Source organism: Homo sapiens, chromosome 2 (assembly GCF_000001405.40).
Source record: "Homo sapiens chromosome 2, GRCh38.p14 Primary Assembly".
Classification (NCBI taxonomy): Eukaryota; Metazoa; Chordata; class Mammalia; order Primates; family Hominidae; genus Homo; species Homo sapiens.
This window is the reverse complement of record NC_000002.12, coordinates 233,425,772-233,450,138: the sequence shown is the minus strand read 5'-3', so window position 1 is coordinate 233,450,138 and position 24,367 is coordinate 233,425,772. Positions and strand designations below refer to the sequence as shown.

The window sequence follows — 24,367 nt, the reverse complement described above, 5'->3', positions numbered from 1 at the left end:
CAAGTACCTTTGCGCTGGCTCCTCCCCTTGGGGACCCCGAAGCTCTCGCTGTGGGACAGTGGTGGGCACACTCTGTGGTCCATCTTCTCCTCTGACTCAGAGAGGCCCAGGACGAAGCCCTCCTGCTCCTGGGTCTGGGCATTCTGCTCATCGACAGCTGTGCAAGGAGAGTGTGTGCGGCTGAGCACGCGGGTGCAAAGCCAAGGGCGCTGTCAGGCTGGGTGGAGGGCCCCTCATCCTCACCCCACGGCCTGATCTTCCTCAAACAACCTCTGGCTAAAGGCTTGGACTCCGAAACCCCACCCCCACCCATCTTCCCCCTGGTCCTGGCACTGGGGCAGGGCGTCCCTGCTAACAGGCTGGGAGGTCTGGAACCCTTGCAGGGGAAGGCAAGGGATGCAGAGGAGCCTGGCGCAGGCTGGAGGGCTGCAAGCGGGAGGAGCGGCTGCATGGACACGCAGGTGTGCGGGTGTGAGGCCGTGACCTCAAGGCTCTCACGGGAGTGAGACGCTTATAGTGAAGTCAATGAGGGCCAGGAAAGAGGTCGAGGGGAGGCAGCATGAAGGGGTCTGAGGGTGTGAGAGGAGGGGTGGAAGGAGGGCAAGCGAACTCGTTGGGGGTCTGGTGCCTGGACATGGGTGGAGAGGGCCGCAGTGGAGGTTTTCTCAACATGCACCCTTCTGTCATCTCCGTGTTCAGGGGACGCTGGGCATGCCCAGTGCTGGCCTGAGGAAAGCCCCTCCTCATCACAAGGCCAGTTACCTTTTTCTGTGTGTTCTATGATCTGACGAATTGCTTTCTTCAGGCTGTTGGCTCTCAGCATGAGCTGTTCTCGAGGCCGGAATATCTGCGGCCGGGCCGGGCAAGCTGATGCCACCAAGCGGTCTCCGGTGGAACCGCAGATGCTGCCCGACCCATCTCCATCTTCAGCCTCCTCGGCAATGGTGGGGGGCGGGTTGGGCAGAGAGGACGAGGCCTGGGACTCATCGTCCAAGGTCTTGAGAAGGGAATCCAGCTTCTCTTTCAGGACAGAGCACTGAACAAGGAAAGGAAATGGCATGCAGAGCTGAGGCAGGAGAACAGGGTCTGCAGGCAGGGAACCTCAGGCCATTTCACCCAGACTTCCTAGAACTCGATCAAAAGGAAAATCCTAACTCTCCACGCCTAAGTAACAAAAAGACCAGAGGCTACTCCCTTTGCAAATCCCCACCTTTCCCGCCCTGGCAGGTGGGAAATTGGGGAAATTGGCTGTCCACAACCAACCATACTGATTGCGAGCTGAGTCTTAGTCTGCATAGAAATGCAACTTTGTAACTTCACCTTAGCCTCTGATTGGTTGCTTTTTGCAACCAATCAGATGTTTGCACAGGAGTGTGACCTTTGTAACCACTTCAGCCTCTGGTTGGCTGCTTTCTGCCACCAATCAGACTGAATGCAAGCTACCACTTCATTTACATGAGGTGAGCATGAAGTGGCCAATGGGATACTTCTAGGGGGTATTTGGACCCAAGAAGATTCTGTGTCTGGACCCTTGAGCCGCTGCTCGGGCAGCTCCCACAGTGTGGAGTGTACTTTCATTTTCAATAAATCCCTGCCTTCGTTCTTTGTTGCTTCATTCTTGTCTTCCTTTACTGTGCGTTTTGTCTAATTCTTTGTTCAAATCACCAAGAACCTGGACAACCTGCAGTCACGGCCCTCTGCTGGTGACAGAGCAAGCTTCTCGCTGCCTCAATGCCCCTCCCACCCAGGGCACGGGAACAGACCTTCTTGGCCATGACCTCTGACTCCTCCGAGCTCTCGGTCGTCTTCTCATAGGCCTTCCCCACCCGTGCCACGAAGTCCTTCACCGTCTCACAGAGCACTCTGTGGGGAGAAAAACAGAAAGACCCTTCTAGAGAGGCAGCTCCAGGCTGGGGGCCAGGGCACCATGCCCTCCCCAGGGCCACCAGGCACTCACTTGGCCGAGGAGATGACCACCGAGTGCTGGTCCGAGGTGAGGATTTTAGAAAGGTGGGCTGCAACCGAGTCTTCATAGAAGAGAATCTGCTGTACCTGCAATCACCCCAAATGGCCAGGACTGTTGGTCTCTGTGACAGCAAGCTCCATGACAGTCCCAGTGACTCTGTCAGCCACTTCCTTGCCAGCACAAGCTGGGAAAGATGAGTCTCTCCTAACAGACACTGTCTGACCCAGCCAAGCCTCAACTCACTTCTAACGCTAATCTGGGACTCACCTAGTGCTAGGTGAGAGATTTTAAAAGCTTCGTCAAGCTGCAGGCAAACTGCAAATGAATCTCCTTCAGTCTGCGATCCCAGCACGGCCTGTGCTAGGAGCTTCCGTCCTGACCCCTACTCATCCTGACAGCGGCATGCTGGCGGGTCGGCTCCAGGTTTGGGTCCGTTTGCAGCAGAGGCTGTTTCCACCTGGCTGTGAGCCCCATCTGGACACACACTCCTGCCCCCACCATCTGTTCTGGCTGTCAGAAGGGCAGCCCTATCCCTGTGGGATCCCTGCTGTCCTTAGGACCCAGCCCCAGGGTCGCAAACTTCACTACTGGCCAGACAGCGAATATTCTGGGCTTCCCCCACACACTCTTCCTCTCAAAAAAAAAATTTTTTTTTAAAAAAAGGAAAAATAAAAAATGTACAAACCAGTCTTCGCTTGCAAGGCCGTGGGCCCAGGCACATCTGGCCTGCAGGCCTTGTTTGCTGACCGTTGCCCTAGCCCCTGACAAAAGCTCACCTCTTTGTACTACCCCACCCAGCACTGCACCAGCACAAAATAGAAACTAAAGACAAAGTCTGTTCTCTGAGGGAAACTGTAGGAGCGTTAAACACAACAGTAACAATCACCAAATGAAAAGAACCACCAGCTGGACTAGAGGAGCCTGAGCGAAGGGCAGCTGCAGACGCCACAGAGAGGTGGGACGGGGCAGGAGCCGGGGGGCTAGGGGAGAGCCGCGGCAGAGCCGGCTAGAGCATTCCAGGCACGTGGGCACCGCGGCGGGGGAGGGAACGGGCGCGCACCGTTTGGGGCTCACTGCGCAGCTGAGGAGATGCACGGACAGGGTGGAAAGGCCATTAGGAGGACCACCCCACCACCCGGCAGGGCCTATGACAACCCCAGGAAGCCCCTAGAGGGTCACAAAGCCCAAAAGGCCCCTGCCAAGGGGAGTGAGAATCCTCTCAGCCATGGGTTCACCCTGCGCCTCCGCAGGCCTGACTGTGACACCCCAACACCAAAGGGGAGGCGTCTCTGCAAGGGAGGTGATGCAAACCGCTGACAGGACAGTTCTGATCACATCAGCATGCGAGCAGGGTGTGAAGAACAGGCCAGCAATACCTCGGAATCCTCGCTGAAGTCTTCGGTGACGGTAGAGGAGGAGGCCTGCCGGGGGAGCTTGGCCTCGTATGCCATGACGCTCCACCTGCACACACAAGGTCAGCTGCACAGGCGGCAAGACGTGCAGGCCCACAAGGGTGAACCCTGCGCCGTCCGCTTTCACGGCTGGCAGCCTTGATCTTTACACCGTTTCTGACTTCATTTTTAGGCCCTTGGTCTTGACTCTGTCCCATAACTTGGCTGAGAACAAATGTCTGCACTCCACAACTAACGGCAGTACAGCTCCATAAAGAGAGGAAGGTCTCCCATAAATGGCTACCTTGAGATAAGATGCTGCTTCTGGGAGAAATGGATTTACCCTCCTCAAGAGAGCTGCAAATGGCTCAGCCAGCTGGCCCAGTGAGATGAGCATTTCACAGGCCCCAAGGCACACAGAGGAGGCCTGAAATGGTGGGGGCATTGCAAAACCACAACTGTGCTCAGAACTCCAGGCTTCTGGGAGCAACTAGGAAGGCTAGGAGGCATCTCATCAGCACCCCATGTGCCACAGGCATGTGGTCAGTGAGTGCCAAGTGTGTCACTCGGGACAACAGTACCTTACTCAGGGAAGGTGTCACAGTGGCTTTAGGCACTAGAGGATAATTTCCCAAAACTTCTTCTGGGAACAGAATATGAGAAAATGAAACTGTTCAAGTAAACGACAAGGAGCATTCTTCCGATGGGTATTAGATCTCGGGCTGAAGCAGCCAAAGATGGCACAGCTGCCTTCTCCACGGCCCTGACACACTCAGGCTTGGCCTTCTGGGAAGACTGGATCATCCTAGGGCATGGCTGGTTCTTAACCTGTTTTGTTTTTATCCTTGTCATAATCTGACCAAATATCAAAGACTATCCGAATATATACTCAGGTCAAATCTTTACAAATAATTTCAGAGGGCCCATGTTTTCCACAGACCCCAGGTTAAGAACACCTGGTCAAAGGGACCTGTCTCTCAAAGTCTCCTCATACGGCACCGGAGCACATCCCCACTCACCTGTCCAGCATCTTGGTGCTGGCTCTCTCCAACTTCTCCAAGATCTGGGGGAGCTGGGTGTCGTCATCGCAGGCTGAGCCCCAGCCCAGTACTCGGGCCAAGTCGTTCCCTGTGCCGAGCGGCAGCACTCCCAGCTGACACTAAGGAAACATGGGGGACGATGCGCAGGCAAACACCTGGGGGCAGGGGCCACTTCCCAGCCCGCAGCCCTCCTTGTCCCCCACCGTGAGGGTTACGTTAGCAATGTGGGGACGTGACCTAAAACCACGCAGCTTACACATTACAGGCAGAGCCCACTGGAGGGGACAGATGGCATTTTCCTTGGCAATGAGACAGAAACATGACTGCCCTTGAGATAAGATGCTGCTTCTGGGAGAAATGGATGAGCCACAGGTCCATCTCTCAGCTGTCATCACATCTTGATGGTCAGCCCCTCACACCCTCTCTGATCTGTCTCCCAAATCCCTCTGCTTCCCATTTTCACCACCGTGACCACAGCCCCAAGGAATCACTCTGATGCCTCGCCACCCGTCCCTCCATCCACTACAGCATCTCACTCACTAATGCCAAATTCTTCTTCCAAAAACATCACTAGTATCACTTCTCTCCTCTAAATCCTATCCAAAAAAGGTGCCAGGACCATCCTCAGTCTGGAGGCTACCCTGGAGCCTTGCCAGAGCTCAGCCTCTGCCCGCCTGCCTGCTGTTCCAGGAAGAGACCTCATGCATTACTCAGGCCTCACCCTCCACCTGGATTCCCATTTCAGAGCTCCAATGAGATCCCACTACACCATTCCATTGCTTAGGAGGCCTCTTAAAATGCCCACTGCCCAGAGCTCACCAGCCTTTGACTCTGACAACAGAGTGACCAGGGCCATGAAGGCTGCGGTGGAGTGTGTGGGGAGGCGTTACTGTCCTTGAGGCAGGAAACCTGCCGTGGTCCAGCCTACAGCACCGTACAGCCCTCTGCCCACCAGGTGGAGGTGACCATGCTTGAGGCCCTGCCGCCTGTGGGGACAGCAAACACCAGGGAAGGTCCTGCCTCACCAAGGGGACATTTGGCAGTAGGGGAGGCAGGAGCGAGCAGGCCAGGACACCGGAGCCGACACACTAGATGGAGAGAACCCAGTGCTGAAGGGTGCCCAGAGGGTCTGAGGACTCCGCGAGGGCTTCCTGGAGCCTTAAAGGAAAAGGAGAGCAGCGCACAGCAGGCATGGATGGTGCTCCAGGCAGGGAGACACCACTGGGAGGGGGCAAGGCAGAGCTCAGTGAAGAGGAGGACAGCGAGGAAACAGGAGGCAGACAGGCAGAGAAGCAAGCAGGAGGCAAAGCTGGGACTCTTAAAGGTCTGGACTTTTCCCAGAAGCATCGTGCTTGGGGGGTGCACAGGCAGAAATGCCCCGGGAAAGGTCGCCTGGGTGAGCTGCAGATGGACAGAGGCCAGGGTACTGTGGGTGGCAGGACTGAGGACACAATTAGTGAGAAACAGGCAGGAGGAAGAGACGGACGAACCAAGAACAACTGTCCGATTTCCTGGCTCAGACATCTAGATGGATGATGTTTTCAGACTCGAAGGAAAGGAACGCAGGGTGGGGGCTGAACGTGGTGTAGTGTTGGAAACTCGAGGCACTAGGAGACATCCAGAGAGGCCCAAGGCTCAGCTATCAATTGAGGCGCCCCCAGGAGAGAGACGACAGCAGAAGCCCTGCAAGTCGCTGAGCGTTCAAAAGCGAAGGAGGAGAGGCCCCAGCAAGGCTCTGAGGACACAGCGTTAAGGGAAGGGTAAGGAGGGAGAGGCCACCATGGAGCAGTAGCAGCCAGGAAGACAAGAAACCCCGAGGCGGCAGGGGCCCAGCGAAGGCATGGCCACCACATCAGGTGTCAAAGAGACGCAGGGGAGAGAAATGTGTGCTGACCTTGGCTGAACGTATGAAAATCAGCCACAAGGTTCCACTGTCTTCCTAACTAGTGACAGTGAACTTGCAAGTAATACACAAAATCAAAAATTAGAGTAGTCTATGCTAATCCACCAGCAGGCGGCACCACTTCTCCTCCTGAGCCACTGGCCTCACGGCCCGAGCTGTCAAATCCACCCACCTGGAAATACTACCAAGTGAGCAGAGCTGGGTAGGCACCACAGAATCACTGAAAAATACATCCACGTCACACAGAAGACTGAATTTTTTAAAAATGGGGCCATAATAAACATAAGAAAATACAGATGCAAATCTTAATCTTGGGGTGTAGGCAGCTGCAAATATGACAGACGTTGACAAAAATCATGAAAGAAAAGACCACCCCCCAAAAAGGATGTTGAACTGACAAACGACAAACCGGGAAAAAAATATCTGCAGTGACAGATAAGAAGTTAATGTAACAATAATCCTCACACACCCATTTTTAAAGGAAAAAAAGGTGAATACTCAAAGAGAAAATGAGGCAAAAAAAAATATGAACAGGTGATTTATTTAAAACTTCATAACCAACTGAGGAGGCGTTCAACTTCACCAGGAATTAAAGAAGTAAAGGTCAGACATTTTTTGGTCTACTTAGCTGGACAAAAACTAAAGAGATGAACAGCTTGGATGGTGCACGGGGAAAGACAGCTTTAAAGGCATCAGGCATGGAAGCTGGCACAGCCCTGAGGAAAGGCAGTTTGTCAGCACATTTCAATACTTAAGCTTGGGTGCGCTCAGAGAGGAGACCACTGGGAAGTGATCTCCGTGCTCACACATGGAGGTGAGCTGGCCCTGGGCTCCCGGGTGTGTCCAGTGGAAAACGACACACAGATGCCTACTTACAGACACAGGCACAAGGTGTCTGCAACATCTTAATTAGTGGTTTTTTAAAAGCAGTAACAGGCCGGGCGCGGTGGCTCATGCCTGTAATCCCAGCACTTTGGGAGGCCAAGGTGGGCGGATCATGAGGTCAAGAGATCGAGACCATCCTGGCCAACATGGAGAAACCCTGTCTCTACTAAAAATACAAAAATTAGCTGGGCGTGGTAGCGTGCGCCTGTAATCCCAGCTATTTAGGAGGCTGAGGCAGGAGAATCACTTGAACCGGGGAGGCAGAGGTTGTAGTGAGCCGAGATCGCACCACTGCACTCCAGCCCAGCAACAGAGCAAGACTCCACCTCAAAAAAACAAAAACAAAAACAACAACAACAAAAGCAGTAACAGAATAGCCCGTTTAAATTACAAGTGCACTGTGCATTGTATGTACTGTGATCAAGAGAGGTCAGAGACAGCAAAATGTTGGCACTGGCTGATCACCTGGGGAGGCCGTGGCTTGGTGTGGAAATTAAATGACTATATGAACATTTTTATACACAATCAGGAAAATCTATTTTTATTTTAATACAAAAAACTAAGTCCAATGAACCATGACTCTGACTTGAGAAACTCAAGTATACTGCCGTCCCCTTCTCACAAGCAAGAGGCCTCAAGACAAAAATTACCCAGTAAAGCAACAGCCCCACCCAGCCCTGCTCCCCATGTGGGTCCTTTGTGGGCAATTCTTTTCGTAGCTCCCTTCAGGTCCCCCTCATACATCATGGCCAGAGCCCCCGGGCCTCCACAATGCCAGGGGGTGGCCCAGGCTCTCCCCTCTCTGCCCTGGCCACCAAACTGCACACTCCCCAAAACCACCAATGGTTTCTGGCCTGAGAACAGGTGCTCCGAGATGAACAGGAGCTGAGACTGCATGATTTCCCTCTAACCTCCGCACCCTCTCTGCTCCTGGCTGGGCTCCCTCCTGTCCTGGTACCTGTTTATGAAGGTTGAGGCTGTCGATTTCGGAGAGGACCCAGCCAACACTTCCATCCCCGCCACAAACCAGAATCCGGAATGTGTCAAACTTCTGGAATAACCGTAAGCTGCAGAGAAAAGAGAAAGGCCGTGAAATGACATCCATTCCACAGGACAAATGACAGGCTTGTCAGTACGGGGCTGAGGGGCCACCTGTGCTCCTCATGGCTGACCTGCACCAGAGGCAGAGCACGCACAGGCCCTGCCACGTGACACCAGCCGCCTCCACTCAGGGTCCACTTTGTCAAAGGGACGACAGCAGCACTGGGGTCCAGCCAACTGCTCCCACCAGCCACGCCCCACCCAGCGACAAGACCACTCAGCTTGGTGAGCCACTGCACGCTCTGCAGACATCACAGGCAAAGTGGTGGGCCAAAACTGCATCCCCTGCCAGGCTCACGGGCACAGCCTGCCGTGGCCCCTAACCATGTGAGCCCACCCTGCGTCACTGTCCCTGCCCCATCCACATGTGGCCCCTGCCAGCCTTCCCAGCATGCCCTCTGGGCTGCCTGCATCACCCTGCACCCTCAGTCTTGGCACTCCCCGGCCCTGGGCCACAGTCTGGCTTCCGCCCTGGCCCTTGTTCTGGTCACCCTGGAGCCCCAGGCTGCCTGACCTGCTGCGGGCTGCGTGTCCCCACTGCAGCACATATGCCTGGGCCCACTCAGTCCTCCGGTGATGTGACCCACGCCTCCTACCCTCCTAACTCCTCGGTTTCCTTCCTTCCTGGGCTCCCCCTGCCCCTGCCCAGCAGCGTCCCCACTCAGGAGACCAGTGCCGCTTCTGCTCACTCCTCATCCTCTTCCTGTGTGACCACATCCAGTTTCAAGGACCACACAGGTGACTCTGGATCAACAGCCCCCAGGCCACTCCTGAAAGCCAACACTTGCACCTGTCCTCCAGAACACACCACTCTGGTATCCCAGGGCACATCCAACAGGACACATCCCTACTCGGAGAATGGTAGCTCGACCACCAACCCAGTCCAGAGGCCAGACCCACCTCCTCTCAGCCTGCAGCCGACCCAGCCCCTCCTGGCAGCCTCTCCTCCACACCCAACCCAGCCACCCGCTCAGGTCACCACCGTGCTCTCGCAGAGTCCCACAGGAGCCTCAGTCACCTTGACACCCTTCCTGAAAGCTCCCCATGAGTTCCAGGAAGACCTTTCTAAAACACGAGCCTGGCCACGGGCCTTGCTTTATGAGGCTGCCCCTCATTTGCAGGAAGGAGTCGAACCTCTTGGCCAGCACCCGCAGCCCTCCCTGACGGCAGGTGCCACCTTTCTGCTGCTGCCTGGCCTGGCCCCACTGCATTCCCTCTTGCCTCGCCTCTGCACAAGCGGTGCCCTCAGCCCAGAAGCCTCCCGCCTCCCTGCAGCCTTCAGAACACTAGAGCTCCTCGGATGCCAGCTCGGGGAGACGTGGAAGGACGCCCAGTTTGACTTGCGACCCTGCCCCCACCGGGTTCCCAGAGAAGCTGTGTCACCCCCACTGAAGTGCCGGGGGACCCTGCGTGTGCTCCTACCCATTCCCTGCATCTGCACTCCCCGCCTGGCTCACCTGCGCACCCTGCCTCGAGCTCAGTGTCTGACCCAGAATGAGTGCTCAGAAGACAGACAGGCATAGGTGATGCGGCACCAAGCCCAGGCTCCACACAGAACACTGACACCTGTAAGGCCCCCTGCTCTCGGGAGAAGAGGTGACAGGTCAAGGCCAGGAACTGGAACATGAAGCAGTAGCTCCAGATTCTGCTGTGAGCTGTGTGAGATGAGCTGCTTCCAGAAATGGTAAATGACGACTCAACTCCCCTTACGCCGCTGTGGGGGCTTCCTAAATCATCCCATCTCATACTTAACTCCCACTACGAAACATGGGGTTTTGCTTGCACACCAAAATGAATATTTCGTTATTCTCGAGTTCAGCTGTGTAACCTGCCCTGCCCACAGCCATTTCACAGCATTCCTCCAACACCCCTGGTACCATGTTTAATAACAACCTCAGCCTGCTTGGTGCATTGTGATAACAGACGTATTATATCTCCACTTTCCCCACTTTTTAACTAAAATTATTTCTTTGCCAGGCAGTGTAATCCAACACTCTTGAGAGGCTGAGGCAAGAGGATCATTTGGCTCCAGGAGTTTGAAACCAACCTGGACAACACAGTGAGACCACTCTACAAAACATTTTAAAAGTTTTGTGAGGCTCAACAAAACATAAAAAAAAAAAATTAGCTGGGCATAGTGGTACACACCTGTAGTCCCAGCTACTCAGGAGGCTAAGGCAGGAGGGTGGTTTGAGCCCAGGAGGTTGAGGCTGCTGTGAGCCAGGATTGCACCAGTGTACTCAGCCTGGGTAACCTAGCAAGACTCTTGTCTCAAAAAACAGTAAAATTAAAATTAAAATATCTTGATCAGCCTACTAGTGAATGCAATCCTCCACCATTCAGATAAGAAGTCTTTCTACAGAAAATGTGGGAGTACTGCCTTTGCGGAAGCAGGCTGGAATGCTGCCATCTGTGACTGCTCTCCGACTGCGCCTGGCTGTGAGTGGGGATGAGCAACACAGAAGACACCCACAGGACCAACGACGAGCAGCATGTTCCTCTTACCCTGGCATGTACGCCAAGGACACGCAGGGAGCTGGCCGAGGTTCACATCAGAGTAGCCCCTGGCTCCTAATACACAGACCCCACTGACTCCTCCCAGAGAAATACAGGCCAGACCACAGGCTCTGCAGGCACTTCCCACTACGGGTATCCTGGACATCTCCGGCAGTGCCAGCAAGTCCTCTTAGAGCTCCGACCTGGAACTGATGCTTCCAGAGGAAGAAATTCATTCAAATGGCAAAATTCACAAAGGCAAATGTTTTCTACAAACTTATGAAAAGTAAAAAACTACAAAGAACACACATGGCTCTCCAGCAAGCAGAGGAACAGTCTAATCTCTGTGCTGCTGATGCACAGTGGAAATCGCTCTGGCCCAACGCCGCCCTTACGTGTTCCTGCCTTGCAGCACCTGCACACCGAGCGGCCTCCTGTGCCTCTCAGCAAACACTCCTCCTGGCCTCGCTGCAGGACAGCTTCTTCCTCAATGTTAGGCAGCTGTTACAAAGAACGAGGCACGCCAGGAAAATACACCCACAGATAGATAGATAGATAGATAGATAGATAGATAGATAGATAGATAGATAGATAGATAGATGATAGATAGACAGATAAATAAAAAATTATAAAATGAAAGAAAATACACCCACAACGTTGTATGCAGACACATACAGAAGGCATTTGTGCAACGGCAGGTAAAGAAGAATCCTGATTGGCTCAAAAGATGCACGTGCATGGGTGTGTGTACATGGATGTATGTACGTGTGTGCACACGCGCACTGTGTTCAAAGTTGGAAGGCCATGCACCTCTATTAAGAGTGGGCACCTCTGCAAGTGCAATTTGGGAAGGAAGCAGTTCAACTTTTCTTTCCTATTTAAAGCTTTGTGTCTTTGAACTTTTTTTTTTTAACAAGCACACACTATCTACACAATTTTTAAAACTCCAAGAAAGATATATTTTACAAGCTTCCTACCCGAGGTGTGGGCCTCCGTTCATGAGGTCGAAGACCTGGGCGGGGTTTAGTAGCTGTTTGAATCTTCTGAGGAACTTCACACCCTGGTTGTCCCCACTTTTTGAATTGACGAAGACCAACAGTGGGCTTGTGCAAGAAGGAGGACAGCTGGCCTTCCAGAACCCTGGACGCAAGAACGAACAGAAGAAAATATATAGGCCACGGAAGACGCTGAGGGCACCACTGATGGAATCAGCAGCAGCAGACCCCCCCAAAGGACACACACCTGACACATGCACACCTGTAAGTCAGGAGGAGGTCAGTGAACAGTTCCCCACAGCCGGTCTCCATGTGTGAGGCCGGGAGCCCCATCCATCTGACCTCCACATTCACAAGCTGTCCAAATGCCACCTTTCTGCTGTCTTCTCTTCTTGATCTCCTCTGAGCCATGTACCCCACATCCCCCTTTCCACCAGTACTTGTCAACAGGTGCCACCATGTCCCAGCCAGACATGAGAGCAGCTGCAAGCCAGTGTGCCAGCATGTGCTAGGCAGAGATGGGGCACAGCTTCAATGGCTCATGACGGAGAAGGCCCCAGACCTGGGTTGCACTCAACAGCATCACCTCCACGTCAAGTGCCAGGCTCGGGTCTCAGGCCTGTCTAAGCCTGGGTGCCACTCAACAGCATCACCTCCACGTCAAGTGCCAGGCTTGGGTCTCTGGCCCATCTAAGGGCAATGCCGCAGCATCAGGGCGCCGTGTGCCGCTCTGTGCAACTCCTCCAGCACCCCCAACAGCTGTGCCTGACCTCTTGCTGACATCTCACCAAGATAACCAACTCCAGAGCTGGAGAAGAGAAAGTGCGTGGAGAAGGAAGCGTGTGGGCGTGCATGAGAAGGATAAGCATGTGTGGTACCCACCATCGGAGTCGATGCTGTTGAGAGCCGTGGGTGGGATGACTGACACTTTGCACAGGCCAAGTGGGCACTTGGTCAGCAAGGATTCTTTACACGATGTGTGAACCTGAAACAAGAGTCCCCGCGTCACCAAGGGTCACTGGCATCCTTCACACACACCAGAAATCCTCCTGCCCTGTAGCTGATGAGCTGGCCTCGGGGGAGGCAGGTGATTTCAGAGCTGGGCTGGCCTGCTACCATCAGGGGCCCTGGGCCGGCCTGCTATCATCGGGGGCCCTGGGCCCTGGCTTTGCACTTGAGAAGGCATAACACGGAAATACCCGGCAGGAGCCAGTCATGCTTCACACCGTGTGAGCTACAGTCCTGTACCCAACCTTCTGGCCCTTCGACCACAGCTACCTCAAACTTTCAGGACGAGGGTGAGGGCTCCTGGGGCCATGTGCCTCTATGTGTCCCCTGTGTCTTGGCTTCCTCCTGGCAGCCAGATGTGCTAGGCAAGTGACTGCAGCAGCCACTTCACAATGACCAACCCAGAAGCAAGTACATGGAGGCTCCCTGAGTCTCTCCCTGGAAGCACATCTCACCACCCAGAGCAACGATGAGACCCAGGACCTGGCAGGAGGCCACTGGGCTGCACCCCTTCCACATGGCTGTGCTCACTGTCAACACTGCCCAGAGCCAACGCCGCTCCAAATGGCCTCTACAGCTTTCCTGCTTCCACACCACAGAGGCGGCCAGCTCAATTGTCCCAGGTGACCCCTCACAACCCGGCTACAGTGCCGCATGATGCAGGGTGACATCTGTCATAACAATACACATCTGCATATGTCTAAAGACAGGAATAAATGCAAAAGGAAGAAATACCCCAAAACATAGCTAAGAAGGAGAATGACCCAACAGTTCAAAAACCCACTCTCAGCCGGAGGGGCCTCTGGGATTAATTTACCAGGATCCAGCAGATCATGCGGAGCCGCAAGGCCCGCATGGGCACGGTAGGGAGCAAGCCCTCCCCTCCAGCCCGGGCGCAGGGCCCACACTCACCATGGCCTTGCACCAGAGGCAGCGCCAGTCCTGCAGGCGCAGCACACTGCCACAGGTCTTGTCGCACACAGTGCACTTGGCGCTCACAGGTAGGTTTCCTTCCAACCACTGGTGGGGCATTGCAATCTGCAACCAAACAGAGGCACGCACTAGGGACGCTCCCAAGGTTCCACGTCCAGGGCAGCCAGGAAATGCTCGTTGTGAACTCAGCCAAGGCATTCTTCCCAGAACAAGCTCCTTCCCTGATGGCCAGTGAGGGAAGGGATGGCAGGGCCTGTGAAGTACCATCTACCCATAGCACCTGTCGGAGGTGCAAACAAGACTCACAGGGACAGGATGGAGCTCGGGGGTGCGACAACCACACGGAGACCGCATATAATTTCCACTGTGCCACCCAATGCCAGTGTGACCATCTCAAATGAAACAGTGGCAGGGAGGGCAGGGAGGAGGCTTGCATGGGGCCGTGCAGGTGGGGGACCCTGGCTCAGGGCCCCACAGGTGGTATTTCTTAACATACCCCATCTGCATCTTCAATGATGTCCTTCCCGATCGAGGCCAGTGTGGTCCACTTGCAGTTATTGGTTGCACGCACAGCACAGCGCTTGTGGGCCTTAAATTTGCACACTGTGAGAGAAGGGGCACATGAGCCTACAAGCTGTGTCTGTGCCAAGAGCTTCCCATGCTGAGCAGTGTTGTGAGAACCGTCCAGCTCCAGAAAAGTCAAGGAAGGAACCAATGGCACTCCCATTTTATAAGTGAACTACTGTGATACGCTTAGAGGCTGATGGCGGTGGGACCGGCAGCGGCAGGGAAAGCTGGGGATCAGTAAGCTTTCTGTAACAGGCCAGAGAGTGAGCAGTGGAGACTCTGCAGGTCGCAACCAGCTTCCGTCACCACTAATCAACTCTGTCATGTAGCACAAAAGCAGCCAGAGACAATGTTTTTTTACGGGCACAAATTTGAATTTCATGTAATTTTCATGTGTCACAAAATATGATTCTTCTTTTGATTTTTTCCAATCATTTAAAAATTTAAAAGCCAGTCTGAAGCGTGGGAGCTGTACAAAAACAGGCAGAGGCAGGGTGTGGTCCAGGCTATAGCTAACAAGCCCTGCTCTAGCCCACTGCTTTGCCACCAGACTGAATGCCCTTGCCCAAACCCTGCAGCCCTGACCTCTAAGTCTGTAACACACTTTCAGTCCATATATGCACAGCCCCGTTTCCCCGGCTGCAGAGTGTGAGACACAGGGGCCGACCACTGTTCCTTCAGTGCCTTTCCCTCTGTGTGCTCTAGATTTCCCATTTCTCCTTTTGCCACCCACCACTTCCCTTTTCACTCTGAGCACTATAAAAAATGATTTATCAAGGACTCTTCGGCAGGTAAAATAAACAAGAATGGCATCACAGAAATCGCTGTGCCCTTGACTGACCACATGGGTGACAACGGCTTATTTATGGTGACTGGGTTTGGATTTCCAAGGCTTTATCAAGTAAAATGCCAGGCCACCTTTCCTGACAGAATAACAAACGCACATCCGTACCCTCGCAGGACAGCCCGTGCGACGTGACCCCAGACAGAGCCTCACGGCACACATTGCAGTAGGTCGGCCTCGCGTGGGAACAGGCGTACCAATTGTGCATCCCTGAGAAGTGGTCCATGCTGTACTGGGTGGGCTGGAAGAACGAAACCAAGAGGGCAAAGATAAGACTTCTCTTTTAAATTGTTAAATGCAGTAACTTGGACAAGATTAAACAAAGTATCCAAGAGAGGAGAGGAGGAAGGTTTATAAAGGACAGGTCTGCTGAGAGGACAAGCAATAAGCTTTAATTGTATAAAGAACATGCTAAGAACGTGAGCTCCAGACTGTGGGTCCGCACGTGGGAGACACTCAGACAGCAGACACTGGGGTGAGGGAGGCAACAGGAGGCATTTGGAGAAGGGTATTTTCTTTTTTAACCTCAAAGTGCTCCCTGTTCTGCACAGTCTTTAATGCTGCAATCCAATCTTCCATTTCTTTTCTGTTATCAGCACACAAGATGAGCTTCCTGCATGGAGTTATGACCTAGAGAAAGAAACAGGTTCAACAGATCCATGAACAAAAGGCAAGTGCTGATAGCTATGAACGCTTTCTTAAAACCGACCTCACACAGACATAAAAATTACTATTTCATTCAGGTATTCACACTGAACCGAAAACAAAAATGGTTATCAAGGATCACTAAAAATTAAAAATAAGAATGATCTCAAACCAAAAAGACAGTGAAATTTAGTTTTTATATATTCATCAGCAATCAATTTAAGTGGACATTTATAATTGCTTGCTACTTAGACACAGTAGTAAACCCTAAGGAAATAAAAAAAGAAGTAACAACTGTTGTTTTCCGAACAGTGGAAGACACAGTTGCTACTGCTTCAGGGAGCCCACAGTGATGGCCAGCATTTGAACAGTTGAGGGAAGTCTGCTCAGCTGTAAGTCTGGAATACCATGAGCATGTATCACATATAAATGTTCTTGTAGAAAACCTCAATATCAGACTATGCAGGACCTGAACAACTTGACTGGAAATAAAGCTGTGACCTGGTAATAATCAACAAATGAAAATGATATCCATAATATATAAAGGGTTCTTATCAATCAGTAGAAAAAAAATCTTCCTGATATAAAAAAGGCTATGAACTTGCATTTCACAAAAGAAATACATCAACGTTCTTTTTAATTTTTTTTGTGGGTACATGGTAGGTATATGTATTTATGGGGCATATGAGACACTCTAATACAGGCACAGAATAATCACAGAGTAAATGGGGTATCCATTGCCTCAAGGATTTATCCTTTCTCTGTGTTATAAACAATCCAAGTATACTCTGAGTTATTTTTAAATGTACAGCAAATTATTAACTGTTGTCACCCCGTTGTGCTATCAAATACTAGATCTCGTTTATTCTAACTACATTTTTGTACCTATTAACCATCCCCCCAGCCCCACTACCCTTCCCAGCCTCTGGTAACCATCAATCTACTGCCTATCTCCATTAGTTCAACTGTTTTCTTTTTTTTTTTATTAGCTCCCACAAATAAGAACATGTGAAGTTTGTCTTTCTGTGCTTGGCTTACTTCACTTAACATTAAGGGTCCTCCTGTTCCATCCATGTTGTGGCAAATGACAGGATCTCATTCTTTTTCATGGCTAAATAGTACTCCATGTGTATATGTACATTTTCTTTATCCATGTGTCTGTTGATGAACACTTAGGTTGCTTCCAAATCTTGGCTATTGTGAATAGTGCTGCTATAATCACATGAGTGCAGACATCTCTTCGATACACTGATTTCCTTTCTCTTTGGTATATACCTAGCAGTGGGATTGCTGGATCACACGGTAATTGTATTTTGACTTTTTTGAGGAACCTCCAAACTGTTCTCCATGGTGGCTGTGCTAATTTACAATCCTACCAGCAGTGTACGGTTCCCTTTTCTCCACATCCTCGCCAGCATTTGTTATTGCCTGTCTTTTGGATAAAAGTCATTGTAACTGGGGTAAGACATTATCTCATTGTAATTTTTATTTGCATTTCTCTGATGATCAATGATATTGAGCACTTTTTCATATACCTACTTGCCATATGTATGTCTTCTTTTGAGAAATGTCTACTTTTCCTATTTTTTAACTGGATGATTAGATTTTTCCCCTTTTGAATTATTTGAGCTCTCGATTTATTCTGGTTATAATCCCTTGTCAGAGGAATAGTTTTCAATTTTTGTTTTGTTTTGTTTTGTTTTTTTGAGACGGAGCCTCACTCTGTCCCCCAGGCTGGTGTGCAGTGGCGCAATCTCCGCTCACTGCAAACTCCGCCTCTTGGGTTCATGCCATTCTCCTGCCTCAGCCTCCCGAGTAGCTGGGACTACAGGCGCCCGCCACCACACCCAGCTAATTTTTTGTATTTTTAGTAGAGACGAGGTTTCACTGTGTTAGCCAGGATGGTCACGATCTCCTGACCTCATGATCTGCCCACCTTGGCCTTCCAAAGTGCTGGGATTACAGGCGTGAGCAACCACGCCCGGCTAATTTTTTGTATTTTTAGTAGAGACGAGGTTTCACCATGTTAGCCAGGAGGGTCACAATCTCCTGACCTCATGATCCGCCCACCTTGGCCTCCCAAAGTGCTGGGATTACAGGCGTGAGCAACCACGCCTGGCTAATTTTTTGTATTTTTAATAGAGACGAGGTTTCACCGTGTTAGCCAGGATGGTCACGATCTCCTGACCTCGTGATCCGCCCACCTTGGCCTCCCAAAGTGCTGGGATTACAGGCATGAGCCACCACGCCTGGCAGTTTGCAAATATTTTCTCCCATTCTGTAGGCTGTCTCCTCACTTTGTTGACTGTTTCCTTTGCTGTGCAGGAACTTTTTAACTTGTTAAAAACAGGAGCTTTTTTTCACTGCTTTTTTCCTGCATTGCTAATGCAGGAGCTTTAACCATTTGTCCACTTTTTGCTTTGGTTGCCTGTGCTTGTGGGAATTACTCAAGAAACCTTTGCCCAGTCCAACGTCCTAGAAAGTTTCCCCAGTGTTTTCACAGTTTCATAGTTTGAGGTCTTAAAGTCTTTAATCCATTTTGATTTGATATTTGCATATGGCAATAAATGGGAGTCTAGTTTCATTCTTCTGCATATGGATAACCAGTTTTCCCAGCACCATTTATTGAAGAGACTGTCCTTTCCTCAGTATATGTTCTTGGTACGTTTGTCAAAAATGTGTTCACTGTGGATGTATGAATTTATTTCTGGGCTCTCTATTCTGTTCCATTGTTCTGTGTCTGTTTTTATGCCAGTACCACGCCGTTTGGGTTAGTATAGCTCTGTAGTATAATGTGAAGTCAGAAAATGTGATTCCTCCAATTTTTCATCAGGAGAATTTTGGCTATTCTGGGTCTTTTGGCTATTCTGGATCCATATAAATTTTAGAATTATTTTTTCCATTTCTGTGAAGAATGTCATTGGTATTTTAATAGGAATTGCATTGAATCTGTAGACTGCTTTGGGTAATACGAACATTTTCACAATGTTGATTCTTCCAGTCCATGAACGTGGAGTATCTTTCCATTTTTTGTGTGTTCTCTTCCATTTCTTGCATCAATGTTTTGTAGTATTCATTGTAGAAATCTCTCACTTCTTCAGTTAATTCTTAGGTATTTTATTTTATTTGCAACTACTGTAAATGGGATTACTTTCTTGATTTCTTTTGCAGATTGTGCACTGTTGGTACATACAGAAATGCTACTGAGTTTTGCATGTTGATTTTGGATCCTGCAACTCTACTGAATTTATCAGTTTTAATAGTTTTTTTGGTGGGGTCTTTAGGCTTTTCCAAATATAAGATCACATCATCTGCAAACAAGGATAATCTGACTTCTTCCTTTCCAATTTGGATACCCTTTATTTCTTTTTTTGTTGTTGTTTGATTGCTCTAGCTTGGACTTCCTCACAGAAGAAATACAAAATGGATAATAAGCAAGTAAAAAGCTGCTTAATCACTCTAGTCATCAGAGAATGCAAATGAAAATAGCAATCTATTTTTTGCCCATGGGATTGGCAAAGTTTTAAAAGATGACTATCCAGTACTGACAAACATGTGGGGGAAAAAGAGTTCTCCTCAAGTACTGACAGGAGGTAAACAGGGTATAAACTTTTTAGAGAAAAAATTGATAGTGTATATCAAAATTTTCAAGGGTCATAACCTTTTACTTAATTTTGTTTTATAATGATTATAATATAGCGATGGAGTTCCAAAGTCAAATCTACAAACAAGGTAGATTTAGAAATCTAGCTTTTATATCTCTCCCCTATCTTGGTTCCCATAGGCTGCTTTACCAAAAAAGAGAGAGAGAAAGTAAGGTTTCTCCTTCCATTTTTAAGATACATGCAAACATGTATATCACATTGTCCCTTTTGTCAACAGTAGCATGGACACTTTTCTCCACCTTTGCCTTTCCATTTAATTACATATCCCGGCCATCACTCCTTAGCAATATCCAGGGCTTCCTCATTCTTTCAACAGTGGCACAGTACTCCACTGTATAGGACTCAGCCAGCGCCCTATGGATGGGAATTTTGTGCTGTTTAAAATTCTTCTGCGATTTCTCATAGTGTTGCCGTGAATTATCTTTACAAGCATCTTTTCCTGTTTTTACCAGTGTATCTCTGGGGTAAATTCCTAGAAGTAGAATTGCCCTGACAAAGAGTAAATGCACATGTAATTTTGCTAGCTATTGCCAAATTATTCCCACAGGGGTTGTACCATTTTGCATTCTCACCAACAGTGTTAGGAAAATGCTTGCTTCCCCATGGATTCAAAAACAAAATATGTTATTTAACTTTTAGATTTCGGCACATCTCATAGCTTTAATTTACATTAAGAAGACCCAATTTAGGAATACCCAATTTAAATTATTAAATGACCATGTTTCTGGCTCAGAAACCATAGAAAGTGCTTTACAGGGAGATTCTCCAGTGACTAAGTTTCACCGCAGAGGGGATAAATGGAACTGGGTCGCCACTGCATGGTTCGCTTCTTCTTCCACATATCCTGGGTTGGTGGGAGAAGAACACCTGGGGCCGGGCTGGGCGTGGGAAGCAGCAGAGCTGGGAGAGAGTGAGGGCGAAGGAGAGACGGCAAAGGCAGGCCCGGAGGGGCCGTCTGCCTTCTGCCCTGCTGCTGTTCAAGCTTGAGAGCACCACAAACAGCCCCTCTCCCTCCAGAGGACACCCCCCGGCTCAGCAGATGCTGGCTAGGTGTCTCCTCTAGACTGGGGATTCTAACAACATGGTGAGCAAAGTTCCTCCCCTCACAGAACTCACAGCGTGGAGAGGCAGGCAGATAACTATTTCCCACACTGACTCAGCCATGAAGACGACAAAGTGGGCCCTGAGAGTGGGACTCAGGGAGTCTCTGGACAGCCACTGAGGGACGGTCATGGGAGACTGGGAGCTGCCAAGGCCGAGTGGGTGCATGTCATCGGCACCGTCCCTGTCTACCTATCAAGTCTGAGCACACGTCCCGAACTGTTCACCCTGGGTGAGTTTTAATATTTGAACACTTTTGTCAGCATAGTAAATATAGTAAGAGAAAGATAATATACCTTACTGTGCATAACTCGGGGATTATATTAGGAGTCATGCAACAGGATATTTATAGAAGACAACAAGGAGATGTTTTAGGTCCTGAGTCTACTACTCCCACGGCAGCCTTTACGAGCTGAAGTGCCAACTTTGCTCCAGAACTCAGCCTCAGCGTTTGAGAAGATGGATCTTTGGGCCCACCTGACCCACACACTGAAGGAGAGGGTGTACTAGAATTGCTTTGTGGGTATTGGGCACTACTAGACAGCAAATTATAGACAAAAGCATTAGGTTTAAAGACAGTGAGTTAAGATACAAGTGACCAATGGCATCATTGCCTTCACCTGTGCTGTTGTTTGCAGACAATAAACACTGAGCAACAGATAAATGTCAGAGAACCTGGGTTTTGGCTTCTAAGGAAAAAACAGAACAACAACAACAACAACAAAAAAAAACCTCTTATTTGTGCCTGTTCTGTTGTGAAGAAGCCTGAGAGAGACCCAGATCTGAATCCTACCTGGCCACTGATAAATTTGCGAAATGGGGGCAGACCCTCTTTGCTTCTCGTCAAGAAAAGTGATGCTAGAAGCAACCTGCAGGGCTGTGGTGGGACTGAACAGGACCAAATGTGCACAGGGCCTGGCACATTCCCTGAGTCTGAAGCCCTTGCTAGCTGTGTAACTTAGAGCAGGTGCTTCTCCGCCCTGTGCCTCCACTGCCCCATCTGAAAACCGGAGCTATTAAGAGCAGTGTCGCATCCTAGCCTTGTTGTTGTGAGGTGCCAGTTGGTGCAACCTGATAATGTTCTGGGCACTGTCACTATCGGTGCTACCTTGGGGTCGAAGCCCTCAGCTTTGATGTCATCATTTGACACTGCTGAGACCCCTTTCCCATGTGAGCATCTTTCTTAAGACTGCTCTGGTATCAGTGGTCCACTCTCCCAAACCACAAGAAATGTCACAGGAGAGTCCCACCAAATAAGTCAGAATCCATCCTTCTTAGCTGCCCACAGAGGGGACACAACTGGGCCTGCCTTCTCTATGTCGGTCCCCAGCTGCACACAGGAGATTTGCCATGACTCACACTTCCATGCCATGCCTCCATCTTCTCAGCACACCCCTCCTGGCGAGCTCCAGCCCCCACACCAACCAGCAGGCACCCCTTAGGCAAGGGCCCACCTCCTCCTCCTCTGGCTCCCCTCCTACTCCTGTTCCCCTAACACCAGCCACAGCCCAACCTCTGGTAGGGGAGGGTGAGTCTCTTCGGGAGGCTGATTCTGGGGGATGTTCTGAGCAGCACTTCCTATTCAATCCCTTGATTTGGGAGACAGCATGGGTAGGAAGGACCCAGGCGAGAAAGCAGGGGCTAGATACAGGCCCTCAGGCTATGCCTTCCTGGCTGCTCACCCTGCCCACCAGGGCAGGTGGCAGGGTGCAGGGAGATGCTCTAAGGAATACTAAGAGCATCCCTATGTCTGGACTGCAGCCAGTATCATAACTACTGGCAACCAAGGAATGGTGTAAAAAAGCTGAAACTATCTCCAAAATCCAGCCTTCACAAAGAAAAGTCTTTGGAGACTAAAAGATGGCTCATATTTTTCAAGCAAATGTATTAAATAAGAAACAGTTCACACCCCTGAATCAACTTAAAAGATAATTGCAAATCAGAAGCAGGGCAATAAGGCTGGGCGCAGTGGCTTACGCCTATAATCTCAGCACTTTGGGAGGCCGAGGCAGGTAGATCACTTGAGGTTAGGAGTTCGAGACCAGCCTGGCCAACATGGTAAAACTCCATCTCTAACTAAAAATACAAAAAATAGCTGGACGTGGTGGCATGTACCTGTAATCCCAGCTACTTGGGAGGCTGAGTTGGGAGGATCACTTGAACCTGGGAGGCGGAGGTTGCAGTGAGCCAAGATTGCACCACTGCACTCCAGCCTGGGTGACAGAGTGAGACCCTGTCTCAAAAAAAAAAAAAAAAAAAAAGCAGGGCAATAAACTGAACTCAACAGGACAAATGAATGACATCCCAGGGATTCAAAAGGCCAGGCTGCAGGACGTCCCACCAAGAGAAGGAGCAGAACTGCATCAGAGGTGACTGCATGGAAACCTACACACTGGAGAGAGAAAATATCCTCAGATCTTGATGCTTGATGACTGGAGAAAGAAACGTGATGTCACAGAGGAGGAGTGGATAAAATGGTGGATGCATTTCTCACAGAATCCTGAGGCAGGCTAGAACAGCCATAGACAGATGTGAATTTTTACACACCTGCTGGAATTCTCTTGAGGGTAACAGAACTTAAAAATCAGTAAGAGCAGACAAACTAATAGTAAAATGGACGAAAGACTTGAATAGCTATTTCACAAATGGCCAATAAAGCACATGACCCGGTGCTCAATTTGATTAGTCATCAGGGAAGTACAAATTAAAGCTACAGGGTGATGCATCTCTCACAATGGCTGAGCTGTAACAGACAGTATCAAGTGCTGGTGACAGTGCAATTTGGTGCAACTACTTCAGAAAACAGCTGAACTTGTATATACCCTGTGACTCAGCAATTCCACCCACGCATCCCACAGAAATGCAAACGCATACCTTCCTCATCAAAGCATACGAGAATGTTCATAGCATCACTACTCTAAACAGGCCTACAGTGAATACACTGTAGTATACTCATACATTGGGAGACAAGCAATAATGTAATGAATCTTACAACAGCGAAAGAAATAAGCCTGACACAAGACGACATATACTCTGTGTAATTTCCTTATGCATTACATAAAGTTAAAAAAACAGACATAACTAATCTATGGTATTAGATGCTAGCTTCTCCTAGCAGCTGCTTTGACAGGAGGGGCACACAGGAGGGATTCCGGGGGCTGCAGTGTTCTCCGTGGTCGGGAACATGCATCAAGCTGTGCGTCTGTAATGAGTACACTCCTCCATGTGAATGCTGCACCTCAGTCAAAAAGGATACAGAACTTGGGATTTCTCAAAAACACATAACCACATAACTCAAAAGAAAAGTGTGCAGAGCTGCCCAGACTCCTGCATAAAATCTGGTTAGAAAATAACTGTACAAGAGACAGGGAGAGAAAGGTGGAAACATGAATATGAATATGAAATATGAAGCATGAATATGAGAGTCTGGCAGCACTATGTTAAAACAGTGTTAGAAATGGATTTTCAACGTTTATGAAAAAACGCTGTCTTATAAGGCAAATGCAAGTTAAAATTAGGAGATCCCATTTTTTAACCTACCAGATTCACAGAGATCAAATGTTTTATAATATGGTCTACTGATTCTCATACACTGGGGCAAAAATTAATACAACCTCTATGGAAACCATTTGGTAAAATCTGTCAGACTTGAAAATATACACCTGTGTCTCAACAACCATGCTTCTATAAATTTATCCTCTCCTGTATCTTCATGAGAAATCACATACTGTATATACAAGGTTATTTGTGGCGGCATTCACTATAAAGACAAAATATTTGAAACCAAACAAATAGTGATCAATATAAGGCTGGTAGAGACTGGCTAC

The 24,367-nt window shown here is 49.7% G+C and overlaps 1 protein-coding gene across 18 annotated transcripts in view, besides 4 other annotated features; it reads right to left on the bottom strand.

Moving 5' to 3' along the window:
- Positions 1-24,367, bottom strand: part of DGKD (diacylglycerol kinase delta) — a 117,605-nt gene that overhangs the window by 21,960 nt on the left and 71,278 nt on the right. For 15 of the 18 annotated variants that reach the window (NM_152879.3, XM_047446097.1, XM_017005138.3 and 12 more), the window contains 13 exons: positions 15,655-15,759; positions 15,238-15,370; positions 14,215-14,321; positions 13,698-13,823; positions 12,660-12,762; positions 11,760-11,922; positions 8,144-8,252; positions 4,377-4,516; positions 3,343-3,427; positions 1,958-2,052; positions 1,764-1,863; positions 763-1,036; positions 8-157 (listed from right to left, as the gene is read on the bottom strand). In NM_152879.3, coding sequence (NP_690618.2) covers positions 8-157; positions 763-1,036; positions 1,764-1,863; positions 1,958-2,052; positions 3,343-3,427; positions 4,377-4,516; positions 8,144-8,252; positions 11,760-11,922; positions 12,660-12,762; positions 13,698-13,823; positions 14,215-14,321; positions 15,238-15,370; positions 15,655-15,759 — 1,690 coding nt within the window. Of the gene's footprint in view, positions 1-7; positions 181-762; positions 1,037-1,763; positions 1,864-1,957; positions 2,053-2,233; positions 3,284-3,342; positions 3,428-4,376; positions 4,517-8,143; positions 8,253-11,759; positions 11,923-12,659; positions 12,763-13,697; positions 13,824-14,214; positions 14,322-15,237; positions 15,371-15,654; positions 15,760-24,367 lie in introns of those variants that run through there. The other 3 variants (XM_047446101.1, XM_047446103.1, XM_047446102.1) reach the window with 3 other exon arrangements.
- Positions 6,381-6,430: an enhancer, noted in NCBI's record as "active region_17349". NCBI's record gives its function as "activates an Ori minimal core promoter by ATAC-STARR-seq in GM12878 lymphoblastoid cells {active_cell/tissue: GM12878}" and the evidence as "EXISTENCE:reporter gene assay evidence [ECO:0000049][PMID:35858748]".
- Positions 6,451-6,560: an enhancer, noted in NCBI's record as "active region_17348". NCBI's record gives its function as "activates an Ori minimal core promoter by ATAC-STARR-seq in GM12878 lymphoblastoid cells {active_cell/tissue: GM12878}" and the evidence as "EXISTENCE:reporter gene assay evidence [ECO:0000049][PMID:35858748]".
- Positions 22,705-23,904: an enhancer, noted in NCBI's record as "MED14-independent group 3 enhancer chr2:234334881-234336080 (GRCh37/hg19 assembly coordinates)". NCBI's record gives its function as "activates an origin of replication core promoter dependent on BRD2, BRD4, P300/CBP and CDK7 cofactors, and independent of MED14, by STARR-seq in HCT116 cells {active_cell/tissue: HCT116}" and the evidence as "EXISTENCE:reporter gene assay evidence [ECO:0000049][PMID:35650434]".
- Positions 23,142-23,436: an enhancer, noted in NCBI's record as "tiled region #11245; K562 Activating DNase unmatched - State 5:Enh". NCBI's record gives its function as "activates a minimal TATA promoter and a strong SV40 promoter by Sharpr-MPRA in K562 cells {active_cell/tissue: K562}" and the evidence as "EXISTENCE:reporter gene assay evidence [ECO:0000049][PMID:27701403]".